This window comes from Homo sapiens, chromosome 10 (assembly GCF_000001405.40).
Source record: "Homo sapiens chromosome 10, GRCh38.p14 Primary Assembly".
Classification (NCBI taxonomy): domain Eukaryota; kingdom Metazoa; phylum Chordata; class Mammalia; order Primates; family Hominidae; genus Homo; species Homo sapiens.
In genome coordinates, this window is record NC_000010.11 from 50,050,067 (window position 1) to 50,064,760 (window position 14,694).

At 42.9% G+C, this 14,694-nt stretch overlaps 1 pseudogene across 1 annotated transcript in view; it reads right to left on the bottom strand.

Annotated features, from left to right (window-relative positions):
- FAM21EP (family with sequence similarity 21 member E, pseudogene) overlaps positions 1-14,694 on the bottom strand; it is a 46,622-nt pseudogene that overhangs the window by 28,885 nt on the left and 3,043 nt on the right. The window contains exons 2-5 of the transcript NR_038275.2: positions 11,412-11,530; positions 9,035-9,207; positions 4,572-4,658; positions 466-567 (exon numbers count right to left, since the gene is read on the bottom strand). The product of NR_038275.2 is annotated as a family with sequence similarity 21 member E, pseudogene (transcript). The remainder of the gene's footprint in view (positions 1-465; positions 568-4,571; positions 4,659-9,034; positions 9,208-11,411; positions 11,531-14,694) is intronic.

Genomic DNA, 14,694 nt, shown 5'->3' on the forward strand with positions numbered 1-14,694 from the left:
AGGCAGGCGGATCACCTGAGATCAGGAATTCAAAACTAGCCTGGCCAACATGGTGAAACCCTGTCTCTACTAACAATACAAAAATTAGCCGGGAGTGGTGGTGTGTGCCTGTAGTCCCAGCTACTTGGGAGGTCGAGGCAGGAGAATCACCTGAACCCGGCTGCAGTGAGCCAAGATCGCATCACTGCACTCCAGCCTGGGTGACAGAGAAAGTCTCCAACTCGGAAAAAAAAAAAAAAAAAGAACTGCATCAAGAATCTAATGTCTTCTCCATTGCACAGCTAGGAAAATATAAGGAAGAAGTCACTGAAATAAAAACAGAAATATTTTTGTTATATAAACTTCAGGTGGCCTGACTGCTTCCCTACCACCTTTTGCTAGTATATGAGCCTCTGGGTAGAAAGTTACATCAACAACCGTTTTCTCCTAATCTAAATTATCTAGTGTTACAATAACAATGTTTACCTCTTCATCTTCATCATCAAACAGGGAAACCGACGTGGGGAGCTTGCCAGGCAGCAGAGATGCACCTTTTAAGTTACTCGCACTTTGAGAAGAAAACAAATCCTGTTGGATTGAAATTAAAGTTGCTGGTTAACAGGAATATCAGTTTTTAAAATATCAGGTCAGTATAAAACACAAGTGACTCAGACATGACAGCTGCCATGTGTCTAGGCTTCTTTCCTGAGAGGGAAGGTGGCTCAGACAGAGTCCTTAAAGGGATAGGCCTCAGGGTCTGTGCAGGGTGTGTGCAGTGGCACTAAGGAGGAGGAGAGCTACAGGATCTGGTGGCCTCACAGAGCCCAGGGGCTTCTGTATTCCCACCTGAATGACAGAAGGCAGGAATAAGTTTTTGAATCAATTTCCTACACCATGCTAAAAAAATAAATATATAAGCATGGCTTCCCATTACTGTCTAAAGAATCAGAGATTAGACAGGGTCAATAAAGAAACAGGGGCTAGATTCCCAAATTAATGGAGCTACAACTATTTTATTTAGTAACACCCTCCTCCCCTAAGATTATGACTTACTTCTTTTTCTTTTTTTTGAGGCAGAGTCTCGCTCTGTTGCCCAGGCTGCAGTGCAGTGGCGCCATGTTGGCTCACTGCAAGCTCCCCCTCCCGGATTCACGCCATTCTCGTGCCTCAGCCTCCCGAGTAGCTGGGACTACAGGCGCCCGCCACCACGCCCGGCTAATTTTTTTGTATTTTTAGTAGAGACCGGGTTTCCCCGTGTTAGCCAGGATGGTCTCGATCTCCTGAACTCGTGATCCGCCCGCCTCTGCCTCCCAAAGTGCTGGGATTACAGACGTGAGCTACCGCGCACGGCCCACTTATTTCTTTTAAATAAATTCAAATTAAATTTTTATTTGTAAATGTTTGGTAGTCTACTTAGTTTAACTACACGTATATGATGTTGCAAACCAGGATGAGACCTGCTAGATTCTGAATAAACTTTCAGCCTGGCGCTGTGGCTCATACCTATAATCCCAGCATTTTGGGAGGCTGGGGCAGGTGGATCACCTGAGGTCAGGAGTTTGAGACCAGCCTGGGCAACATGACAAAACCCTGTCTCTACTAAAAATACAAAATTAGCCAGGCGTGGCGGTGGTTGCCTGTAATCCCAGCTACTCAGGAGGCTGAGGCAGGAGAATTGCTTGAACCCAGAAGGCAGAGGTTGCAGTGAGCTGAGATCCCACCACTGCACTCCAGCCTGGGCAAAAAGAGTGAAATTTTGTCTCAAAAAAGTAAAAAATATAAAAATAAAGAAATTTTCAAAACGTTATAAAACATCAGCTTATCCTGCAAAGAAAGACCTGCAAATTGAGCTACATGAAGTAGAAACATAAAATGGGACATCTAATCCCTTGGGAAGAGAAACATTAATACACAAGAGCCGAACAATTAAATAGGACAAGAACATATTTTCTAAGACCTCTTCTGACAGTTTTTTTTTTTTTTTAAATCATGGGGTTGTTGTCTACTCCTCAAACATAGACCTAATGAGTTCACTAAGTGAGATCTCCTCCACACAGTGTTTTTCCCCTGTGCTTCCCAGAGTCCCATGGGTTTATTTAGATAGAAGAGGTCACAAGGGGAATTCCAGGCATCCTGTGCCCCTCCTGAATGTTACACAATGGCAAGAGAAAGGGTTCTGCTGTTCTAAGAAAATGAAAGTAAACCAAAGCAAAGAACAAAAACAAATGTCAACATCACAGTTTCGGACCCTTAACTAATACTTTTATTGGTACTGCAAAAAAAGACACTTCCATTACCTCAAATATGTTCCCCCAAAATGACTTCACAGGGCAAGCTTCAGCCCCACACTTGAGATATAGAGAAAGGAGTCACGATGCATTCCTTCGGGTCCAAAGCTTTAACTCTTACTTAGACTGCCTTAGTTTTACTTCTCCTTGACTCAGAATCTGAACAATATCCAATAAAAACATTCACTCTATGATGACACACATGGGGCAAAGCCTTTGGTAGGGTTTTCACACAAGTCTGAGAGTTCATTTACACTCCCACCATCAAGAAGGGGAGCCTATGGCCTCTCCCCATAAACCTGGATGGGCCATTGTGACCATCTTGACCAACAAATGAAGGAAAAGGAACACCGTTGACTTCCAAGGCTGGAAGACAGAAGGCGACATGGCCTCCACCGGACTCTCCCTGAGGACTCTCCCCTACAGCCCTGAGCCAGCATGTAAGAGGACTGGCTTCCCTGACTACATGCTGGGAGCCACACAGGGCTAGTGAGAGATGTCCCAGGGGCCCCAGTGCCCAGGTACCAGACATATGAGTGAGCTGACCCTCAGCCCAGCCACCTTCAGACACAAGAGACCCTCAGTGACAATGGCCTAGCTAAGCCCAGTCAACCTCTCGAAGTATGAGATAACAAAACTACTGGTGTTATAAACCACTAGGCTTTGGAGTTGCTTGTTTCATAGCAACAAATAACCAGAACACCTCGTAAGTCACTGAAATTGCTCACATTTTGTTTTCTTGTCTAATCAACAATTACTGGATGGCTTACAACATGCCAAGCACTGGTATTAAGGACAGGGTGTTAGGGATACAAACGGAATAAAAAGTCCTGTCCTTGTGGCACTTACTTTAGTGGGAAGTAGAGACAATGAATAAGTAAATATACACTGTCCCTGGCAACACGTGCTGTGGTAAACAGTGAAATAGGAAGGAGGACCAGGAGCACAGGGTGGTACGTGCTAGCAGGCTTCCTGTTGTGTGTATTTCATCAGGGAGGCCTCATAGAGAAATCGAAGAGTGAGGAAGCAAGCTGGATTCTGGGAACAGCATTCCTCAGAGTGGCAGGGGCCGGTGCAAAGACCCTGAGGTGCAGGTGTGGGTGACACAGGGGATCCATGAGCATAAGACGGTGGAGGCCCCATCATGCTGTTTCTCAGGGGTCAGGGTTGTGACTTGACTGGACTTTGGTTAATTCCCATGTTTTGTACACTCGCCTTCAATGAAATAATAGCCTCAAAGGTATTCTTTATGTCAAGGGCAATCACTATACTTCCAAAGGGTTCCATGTTCATCCTTGCTGTGAGTGCAAAGCCCAACCATGACAGCCTAACCTAGAGCCCACAGTTTCTTGAAACACATGTAAGTTTCTGCCATGTCCACATATTTTTCTGTAAAAGGGGCTTATTATTTCCCATTACATTTCTGATACAGGTCTCCAATCTCCTAAAAGGCCAACATAAAATTAGATCTAAGACGACCTAGGCCTGAGAGACTCAGGAAAAGCAGTGAAATTCTGAGAGGTGGTTCTAAGGTGCCTGGAGGGACCAAAGCAACCTGTGAACCAGGGTCCCACAGGCTGTTAGTGGTCTCAGTCTCGACAAGACAGATGGCTATGCCAGAACCCATCTGCTACAGCATTAAGCCACGGTCTAGTTAGTGAAAATGTGAATAAAGGAAGTAGCATGGTGACCTCCACTCTGGTGCAAGCTCCTCATCACATCATGAGCCCATGAACAGTTTAAAATCTGAGCATCCTAAAAAGAGAGAATTTTCATCCCAGGAAACGTAAATACAGTCCAACCCAAAAGTGAAAAGTATTGTAAACATATTGCTTTCTAAAGCCCCTGTGCTCTCAAGAGATTATTTTTTATTCATTTATTTATTTTGAGACGAAGTCTCACTCTGTCGCCCAGGCTGGAGTGCAATGGTGTGATCTCGGTTCATTGCAACTTCTGCCTCCTGGGTTCAAGTGAATCTCCTATCTCAGCCTCCTGAGTAACTGGGATTACAGGCTCACACCGCCATGCCCGGCTAATTTTTGTCTTTTTAATAGTGGCAGGGTTTCATCATGTTGGCCAGCCTGGTCTCGAACTTCTGACCGCAGGTGTCCGCCTGCCTTGGCCTCCCAAAGTGCAGGGATTACAGGTGTGAACCACCACTCCTGGTCTCTAGAGATAATTTTTAAAGAACTGGAGTACTTAACAAAAAGTCTTATAACTCTATTGAGAAAAACCTGATTCAAAAATAGTTTCTATGTCATATCCATAGACTAATACCCACAACTAAGGAAAAGAATAACATACCTCAGAGTCCTCCTGATCCTAAAATAAGCCTTTTTGAGTGTTTGTTTCTGACGAGGGCTTGAGATTTTTGCTGGAAGGTAAGGTAACCTTTGTTGGGGGAAAAGAAAAGAAAAAGAAAAATTAAGCATTAACAAATAAGATACCCAGAAAAGAGGGTTTACTCAATCAACCATTTAGAAAACGCACGGAGTCTCTGCTGTGATAGGCAGCAAGCTGAGGGGGCTGTTAGGAGAACAGCAAGACAAACAGAGGACACATCTGGTGTATCAGGGAGCAGGACACACTGCCTGGGTCAATGGGTGCACAGATGGGACATATGCAATGAGAGACAGCATGGAAAGACTGGCTGCCTGACAGGCCTACCAGGTTCTGAATGCTGGGCCTTAGGGGGTCGGCAGGAGAAAGTCAGGGTTTCACAGCCAGGACATGACATGATGAGACAAACTGTAGAAAGAGGAGGGACCAGCTGTACAGGACAGCAGTGAAAGGTCAAGCAGTCAAAAGGGCTTAAAAACTGCTGGGGACACACACACTGGCCAAATGCAGGTCAATCTGAGCATCAAAAACTATGATGGTCTGGCCAACATGGTCAAACCCAGTCTCTACAAAAAAATACAAAAATTAGCCACCAAGAGCAAGACTCTGTCTCAGAAAAAAAGGAAGAAGAGGAATGATGGTAATGGATTATCATCTACACTGAAGAATGAATTCATGATCCCAGAGCAACACTAAAAATTAGGGAAGCAGAGGAAGAGGAAACTCTTTATTCAGAAGATACCAACTAATAAGAAATATAGAATTAAAAAAGCAGTGGTTTATGACCACTAACAGGTTAACTGATTCAGGAAAAGATCATCAGTGGATTTTCAAAACACTGAGTAAAAGGCTGGGAGAGAACAGGTATTCACACTGTGTTCAACTATCACTTTAGAGATCAACTTAGCAATGGCAAAAGAGAACAGGGTAGCTTTCCAATGAAGCAGTGTGGTGGGCACCCTAGCAACCAAGTGACAAATGTGTCTGAATGAGGCAGACAGTGGACCTGATGTATCTTGGGAGGTGATCCAACTGGAAGTGCACAACCCTGCCTGCTTGTATTCTTGCCAAAACTGCTCACCCTGAATCTATTCATAGAAAAATAATCAAGCAAATTCACATGACACATTCTACAAGACAAGTGGCTGGACGTTAAAAAAAAAAAGAAAAAAAAAGATGTGGGAGATGTTGCACTAGATTAAGGAGACCAAAGAGACAGGACAACCAAATGCAATGCAGACACACTGCCTGAATCCTGGGTTTCTTAAAACAAACAAACAAACAAAAAATCAAAATACACAAAAATACTATAAAGCAGGGGTCCCCAACCCTGGGCTGCAGACCAGCCCATGGCCTGTTAGGAGCCAGGCCGCACAGCAGGAGGTGAGGTGAGCAGCAAGCATTACTGCCTGAGCTCCTCCTCCTGTCAGATCAGTGGCAGCATCAGATTCTCATAGGAGGGAAAACCCTATTGTGAACTGTATATGCGAGGGATCTAGGTTGCAAGTTGCACTCTCCTAATGTCCCCAATGCCAAAAAGGTTGGGGACCGCTGCTATAAATGGCATTTTGGGGACAAGAGAGGAAATTACCATATAAACTATATGCGAGATAATTTTAAATCTGTATTCTATTTGTTGGGGTGATTTTACAAAGACATTCTGGGGCAACTGGAGCAATTCTAATACAGACTAGATATTAGATTCTACTATAGAATTACTGTTAGTCTCACAGCTGTTGATAATGGCATTGTGCTTATATGGAAGTCTTTTCAAGAGAGGCTTAATGAAATATTTAGGGGTAGAATGTCACAATGACTACATGGAAACAGTTCCATGCAGCAAACAGTTCAAACAACTTACATGCAAATAGTTCAGGAAAAAAATAGATATGTCACAAGGTTTACATCCATAAAGTGTTTGCCAAAACCCTAAGAACTGATCAATCTGGGTGGCAGTTATTTGGGTGTTCACTGCAATGTTCTTTCCACTTTCTGTTTGAAGTTCTTCAATATGAACGTGAAAGGGAACAGTACTTCCCTCTGCGTTCCGGATGAATTATTAAAATGCTGCAGATCAATGCTCCTGCGTTAAGTCTTCCCTCCTGCTCACCTTTTTTTCTGCTCTTGCTTTATTTTCATCTGTCTGACTCACAGTGGCTTCTGGCAATGCTACGGCTTTTTCTTTGAACAGATCTCCTTCTTCGTCACCAAAGATATCAGCAGTGGATTGGACTTTGCCTTTAAATACCAAGGCATAAAATTACAATAAGGCCAGAAATCCTACCACAAAAAATCCTACCACAAAATTCATAGAATAAAAAATCCTTCCCTCCCGAAGATTAATATGAAAGTTACGTTGTTTCTTGGTTACTTATAAAGAAATAGTAAGTGGAACTATACTCTTCCCTTCAAATTTTTCAAAGAGTGTATTGACAGCTCAGTTGAAAGACAGAACAAATAGTTTAACCATGCAGCTGATATGCTTATCCAAGCAGCAGTCTCCTGTTGTGGTTACAGAAGCTTGGACTAACTTAAAAGGTGAAGAGAGATCTAGAGGAAGAAAGATCACTTAAGAGGAACACCAAGTCAATCATCGAAGGAATCTGAGAAATGAAGGCTGGGCTCCTGCTTTAAAAAAATCAAACTGGGCTGGGCACAGTGGCTCACACCTGTAATCCCAGCACTTCGGGAGGCCAAGGCGGGTGGATCACGTGAGGTCAGGAGTTTGAGACCACACTGGCCAACGTGGTGAAACCCCATCTCTAGTAAAAATGCAAAAATTAGCTGGGTGTGGTGGCAGGCGCCTGTAATCCCAGCTACTCGGGAGGCTGAGGTAGGAGAATTGGTTGAACCCAGGAGACGGAGGTTGCAGTGAGCCGAGATCCGCCACTGCACTCCACCCTGGGTGACAGAGCAAGACTCCATCTCAAAAAAAAAAAAAAAAAAAATCAAACTGTACAAAAGCAGATAAAAGCAAATAATGAAATTCCCTCATAATTCCACCTGCCTACTCGAACAACATGGACATTGGAAACAGTTCAGCATACATGCTTCCAATTCCCCCAAAGGATGTACTAATGAATTAACACTAGTTATTTACAAATAAGGCTATAAATAAGAAGGTAATTTGAACAATGTGTCTTACCATTTGTATTTTCCACTTAATGTACCTATAAAACATTCCCAAGTCAACAAGCATAGACCCCATTCATTTTAACAGTCGCACAATATTCCACTGAATAGAACGGCCATAGCTTACTCTACTGATGAATATTTTCACCACAGTAAGCACTGCTGTACCAAATGGGGCATGTGTTGCTGAAATGAGGTCACTGACTCATGAATGTCCGAAGAGACTAGGAGTTGTCAAAGAAAGCAGCATCAATTTACTAGTGATTCTAAATCAGTTCTCAAAGATATCCACTAAGTGAGAGCCCTGTGGAGCTATAAAAAGCACTACTACCTTCATTCACTGTCATCTTCACCGAGACCTGCACGAATTCTGCATCCGTTTGCACTCTTTCTAGATTAACTAGGCTATTGTTTTCCCTCGCACTTCGGCTTCCATCCTTGCTTTCTACACCTAACACTGGAAAAGGACAGTAAGTCCAGACAGTCTGCTTCTAAATGAATTCTGATTCCATCTATTCCTATATCATCCTTTTTTATTTTTTCAAGTTGCTGAAAATCATGTGCAACTTAGGGATCTAGGGATCTACCTTTCTTTTCTGGAAGACCAGTCAATGGATCTAAGTCTTGCTATTCCAGGTGTGATCTACAGACCATGAAGCTTGCTGGAAATGTAAATTCTCAGGCCCCACCCTGGACCTACTGAATCAGAATCTTCATTTTGACAAAAGCCTCTGGGAGATTCATCTGCACATTTAAAAACAAATGATTTACAGGAATGACTTCAGGAACACAGGACTTACATTTAAGAGGAAAAAGAAAGGAGAATGCCAAAAAGAAAGGAGTGGCCAAGCGGATGAAAACCCCATAATGTGAAGAAAGACCAAGGCCACCTGAGCTTTTTGGTAGAGAGAAGAGAAGCCGGGAAATAACTGGCCAGCACACAAAATGCTGCTCATGTAATTGACTAAGGTCGGCTGGAAGAAAGGATGATTAAAACTTTATAATTCCAAAGGTCAGAACTGTGAATTAAGCAAAAATTATAGGGATAAAGACTTGAGCCCTCTATAAGGAAAATAATCATAGTAATTAGCTTACAGAGCAGAAAAGATTGGGTCATAAAACAGACCTCCCAGGCACCACACCTATGTAAGTACAGACACAACAGCTCAATGACAGGAATGCTGGAGAAGGGATTCTGGTACTATAAGAGATACAGAACTAGGTGAGCTTATCTTCCATTTAGGCAACATTCTCTTTCTGGCTGAAGTCCTAGACACAGAGGCAGGAACACATACCTGTTTTGGAAGGCTAGCTGTGGGGTGTCGAGAAAAAGTCGTCATCATCATCACCATCATCATCATCAAAGAGGCCAGTGGGAGGGGGAAGGTAGGGGCTTTTCCTTGGAGTGGGCTGCTCAGGCTTCTGTGGCTCCTTCATTGATGGAACGGAGGCAGCACATCCGTGTCTCCTGTGAGTGAAGGGACAAGACAGACACAGCTGTGAGCCAGTGTGGGCCGGTTGAATTTACAGAAAAAAATTATCACCCACCAAAAACTTTTCATTTCAGTTAATCCACAAAATGCATTAAGAGGGCCCAATAGCCTCCATCCATTACTGCTACAGAACATCTCACAACGGAGAATCACCAGGTCACTCAAACACAAAAAAGTCCAAGGCCACTGAGCTCTAGGAGAATAAGAGCTAATATCAGTAAATGAGCTCTTTCTATAAGATGCTCAAAGCCCTTTGAAGCTCCCAGGTACTTCCTCATCTCCAGCCAGGCTTTAGAAGATGATAATTTTGAAATGGAAAAAACAGTATTTGTGTAGTTTTTAGAAAACAAACCTAAGTTATGTTACCTAAAAATACAGAAACAGCTCCTGCTGGGATTTTCTTTCCAGGTTTGGATGATGAAGACTCTAGAATGAGAAAGCAAGGGGCAACCATTTTTACAAGGGAAATAACTTTCCTTGCTATTTTATTCCTGAAATATGTGCAATGTAACACACAGCTAGTACCAGACATTTTGAAACTACTTTTTCCTGAACAAGCCATTTTAAAATGCTTTGGTATTTTCTTCTCTACCAATGTCAGGACTTTTTTGGGGATTGATACAATCTGAGCTGTGACTCCAATGGAAGAGCATGCTGACCGTCATCAAGCCACAGCAGTGGGTCAGCTGGGGGACACCAAGGGAGGAGGTGAGCACAGCAGAGGCAGGGACAGCATGACCAGGGCTCCCCCAAACAATTCCGCCTTTACCCATTCCAGTTGGATGAGAATGAACGAGTGAAAAAGAACCGCAAAAACATGTGAGTCATCAGTAAAAAATAAAGACATAAGAGCAAAGGGGGAAACCAAGCAAGTCACTGATGCCAAAACGTGGGCAGCAGAAAGCAGAGGAGAGCCAGGCTAGCAGCCCGCACAGCACGCACAAGGAGCGGCCTCCAAGGCCCAGCTCTGATGCCTGTGCCCGGGAGACTCGGCACTTAGAATCACTAATTCCCAAGTCCCAAGAACTGCCACAAACCTATGGAGTAACATTTGTAGGTTAAAAAACATATTTATATTTGTGTTTTTTAAAAACTGCACCAATGGGACAGGTGCGGTGGCTCATGCCTGTATTCCTAGCATTTTGCCAGGCCTAGGCGGGTGATCACTTGAGGATAGGAGTTTAAGACCAGCCTGTCCAACTGTCCAACACGGTGAAACACCGTCTCTACTAAAAATACAAAAACAAAAACAAAAACAAAACCTGCACAGATGATTTTAATGCACACTGGGTTGGGGAATTACTGGTCTCCAACTTATATACAGAATGTTAAAAATGTTTCTTTAAATTAAACTTCATTCAATGAAAATCATCCTCAACAGTGCTCTAGGGTACTTTTCTTGTTTGACTTTTTATGAGTTCTCTCCTAAGAAAGAGGCAAGACTGTGGTATGGGTTTACAGATGGTACTGTGTTTTCCAAGACATGAATTAGTGAAGATGAATTACTTTCAACTGGACCACAGTAAAAACAATAGCTTCCTGCTTAACACAGAAACAAGGCTTGGGAACAACCTTGTTCCATCTCCTAGTGAGGAAGACAGTTTTGGAACTCTGCACACAGAGACACAGCTGCCCAACCCCAGCTTACCCTCCTTAACAGAGGCTCCAGCTTGCCAATCCTGGGGGGCTTCCGTGAAGAGGTCACTCTGGTTGAAATAAGGTATATGACAAAGAATTCAAAAAACCAGGAGAAAGCACAGCTGCATTTGAGGATTCCTAAGGAAAAATAACCTACAAGATTTAAAGCTACATATTTACTACTCTGACAGAAAATCAGTTGCAAAGTGATAACTATGGCAAAATCAGACCCTAAAATAATTTAGGCCTGTCCAGGAATTAAAAACAAACGTGGAAGACAACAGATAAGGCAAGAAACAATCACCTAGTAAATTATTCACATTAACACGTGCACATCTTCTCCTCACCTAACAAAGCATAGAAGGATACGGCATTTCTCACTCTGTGATTCTTAGTTCAAAATGTCCCAAAATATGAAAATAGAAGCAACTTCCAACTGAGAAACTGTTTTTTCCCCACTAAACAAGCAAAGCCTATTTCTTCCCTGTGGACCCCTGACACAGCTAGCTGCAGGGAGTGTTGCTGGGTGCCATGGACTCACCTCCTCATCCTCATCATCAAAGAGCCCCTTGCCCCCACTGAACAGGCCACCTCCAGAGCCAAATGGCGAGAAGTCCTCGTCGGTCAGCTTGGGGGGTGCGAATAAGTTATCCTCTTCATCTAGCAAACAGAAAGCAATGTTTTGCAGGGAGTATTAAAGATGGGGCCAGAACTCAAATTCCCGGGTTGGCATCTGCTGTGTCTCCAAACTGGCATGGAGTTTATCTGGCCCTCTTTATCAAAGTGTGAGGCAGTCTGATGAATTTCACACTAACCCCCTGGCACAGTCCACTGACACCCTCAAAAGACTCTCTGGGCCTCCACTCTCAAGTCTGTCCATGTCTGCGGCAGACAGCATTCATTCTCTAGGCCAGCACCCTGGATCTAGATTTACTCTGAAGCAAGCATTCGGGTCAGATGCCACATTCAAGACCCATTCCCCCACGAATCTGGGGGAAGGAAGGGCAGAATAAACAAAGGGATCTGCAAACTGACACAGGGACACGTGGAATGTAATGGACATGGCTGTTTAATAGGAAAAGGCCTGGTGTATCCTTTATTGAAAACAAATGGTAGAGATCCCTAAGTTTCTATATTTCTAAAGAATTCTAGAAAGACAAGAAATGATTGCTGTAAAATCTAATAAATCAAATCTCTACAGGAATTTTTACTCCACACCCACATATCCTCCCAGCACCCCAAAACATGCCTTCCAAGGCTTTTGTTTGTTTGTTTTTGAGACGGAGTCTTGCACTGTCACCGGTGCTGGAATGCAGTGGCACGATCAAGGCTCACTGCAACCTCTGCCTCCCGGGTTCGAGCGATTCTCCTGCCTCAGCCTCCCAAGTAGCTGGTACTACAGGCACCCACCACCATGCCAAGCTAATTTTTTGTATTTTTAGTAGAAATGGGGTTTCACTATGTTGGCCAGGCTGGTCTTAAACTCCTGACCTTATGATCCACCCACCTCGGCCTCCCAAAGTGCTGGGATTACAGGCGTGAGCCACCGCGCCCAGCCCAGAGGCTTTAGAAAAGTAAATGGAGACAGACCCATTTGTCAGAAGGAAAACAGCATGTAAAGCAGTACTTCATGAATTATATAAGCAACATTCCCGAGTCAAAGGCTCCTAAAATAACAGAATTCAGGGAAAAGGCCCACCATCCGAAGGAGTTCTCCTTTCCTTCTTCTCGAGTGTCTTCCGAAGTTTTGCTTCTCCTGAGGGTAAGGCTTGAAGAACAGTTCACAGTTTTAATAGTACTAAGTCCTCCCTCAGTATACACATCCTGGTTCTTTCCACGTCTGTCATCCTCATAACTCACAGCTAAGAGCAAGACATCTGCCTTTCATCTCAGCTGCACTAAACCCCCTGTCCTGCCCACAGTGGGCACTCAAGAGTCTCTTTGTAAGGTAGAAGGCTTCTGCTTTCATCCCAGGCTCATGTGCATAACAGGATTGTATTTGTTGAAAGAATTATTATGTTATCTTTCTACCCTGTTATAACTAGAATATGCTATATAGCACATTCTTATGTGTTCAAAATATAGGAGTAAATATTCAGCCAGGAATTCTTAAGCTGTTGCCCATGGTTCTCTGGAGTTTCCATTAATCTCCTGAAATTATATGTAAAGTGTTATCTACATGTGTACATGTACATTTTTCTTGTGAGTCCACAGTGTTCAGTTATCTAAAGGAGCTCATTAACCAAAAAAGGAATAAGCGCTACAATTTAAGCCTCTTCTGCTGTAGTAATTACTAATAAAAAGGGAAATCCACCTTTGGTGAAGCCAGCAGAGGGCTCTGCACTACCCCCCCCTACTCCCCGTCAATGAGGCTGGGTCTCACTTGTCGGCTCCTCGTCCACTCCGCCCACGGCATCCCCCTTGATGCGGGCAGCCAGCTCACTGCAAACGAAGTAGGTCTGCTTTTCTAAAGTAGGAGAAATCAAAAGAATCTCTTTTTTGTAACAAACTAGTACACTTCACTTTGGACATCTAACAACATTATGTATACAAGAGCAAAGAAATTGAACTGAGGAGAAAACTGAGTTTAATTAAATGAACTTAAACATATGTACCCTATACAGCTCACCCAAGGAATAGGACTCATAAAATGTTCCTTCAAAGGGAGATGCTCTTTATTTCCTTATTTTTTTTAATACTTGACTTTAATACTTAAAAATCTGAATAAGAAAATAAGAAAAAGGTCATGGGCAGAGAGACAGGAGCACTACGGTCTTCAAACTCTGGAACCAGACATATTCTGAATGATCTGACTCATAAAATCATAACATCTGGACAAGAAAGTGGTACTTGTGAGGCAATTTGAGATGCTTGCCATTATTTTCCAAAGTGTAAATGAAATGACAAATATGCCAAAATGAGAGATGTTCAAAGTAAGTCACAATAAAAAATAAAAAAAGTCATTGGTTCTAAAACCCTGCCAAGTGATAGCAACTACAGCCTTCCTTACAGTTCTAGTATTTTCTTCAATGTCCTCAATATCTTTCTCCTCCTTCTCAGAGTCAGCAAAAAGGTCACAGCCATCATCATCCTCTTCCTCATCACTCACTTGTGTGATGTGCTAAGAGTATAAAATAGCAAATTAGAACTACTAGTTATTAAGCTAAAGAAGAGATACTGCCACTTAGCCTTTAGGCTGCTCCTTCAAAATCGTAACAGCTGTTTAAAATAATAATCATAATCATGATGCAGTAAGTTATAAAGCAAAAGATGTGCTGGAACAAATAATACACAAGATTTACTTCAAATCTAAATAAAAATGCATTCTTTAATAAGAATGTAACCACAAGAATATAAAAAGCAAAATATTAAGATATAAAAATTGTCTGTTACTAGAGAAATATTTTTATTTATTTATTTACTTTTTTTATTTTTGAGGAATTTTGTTCTTGTTGCCCAGGCTGCAGTGCAATGGGGTGATCTCGCCTCACTGTAACCTCCGCCTTCTGGGTTCTAGCAATTCTCCTGCCTCAGCCTCCCGAGTAGCTGGGATTACAGGCACCTGCCATCATGCCTGGCTAATTTTTATATTTGGTAGAGATTGGATTTCACCATGTTGGCCAGGCTGGTCTCAAACTCTTTACCTCAGGTGATCAACCTGCCTTGGCTTCCCAAAGTGCTGGGATTATAGGCATGAGCCACCACGCCTGGCCTATTACTAGAGAAATATAAACAAAATCAGTATAGTCTTACCTTAGTAAGAATACTGAGTAATAGTTAAAAGGTAAAAGCTGTAACAATTAGAGAGCCATCCAAGGTAGGTC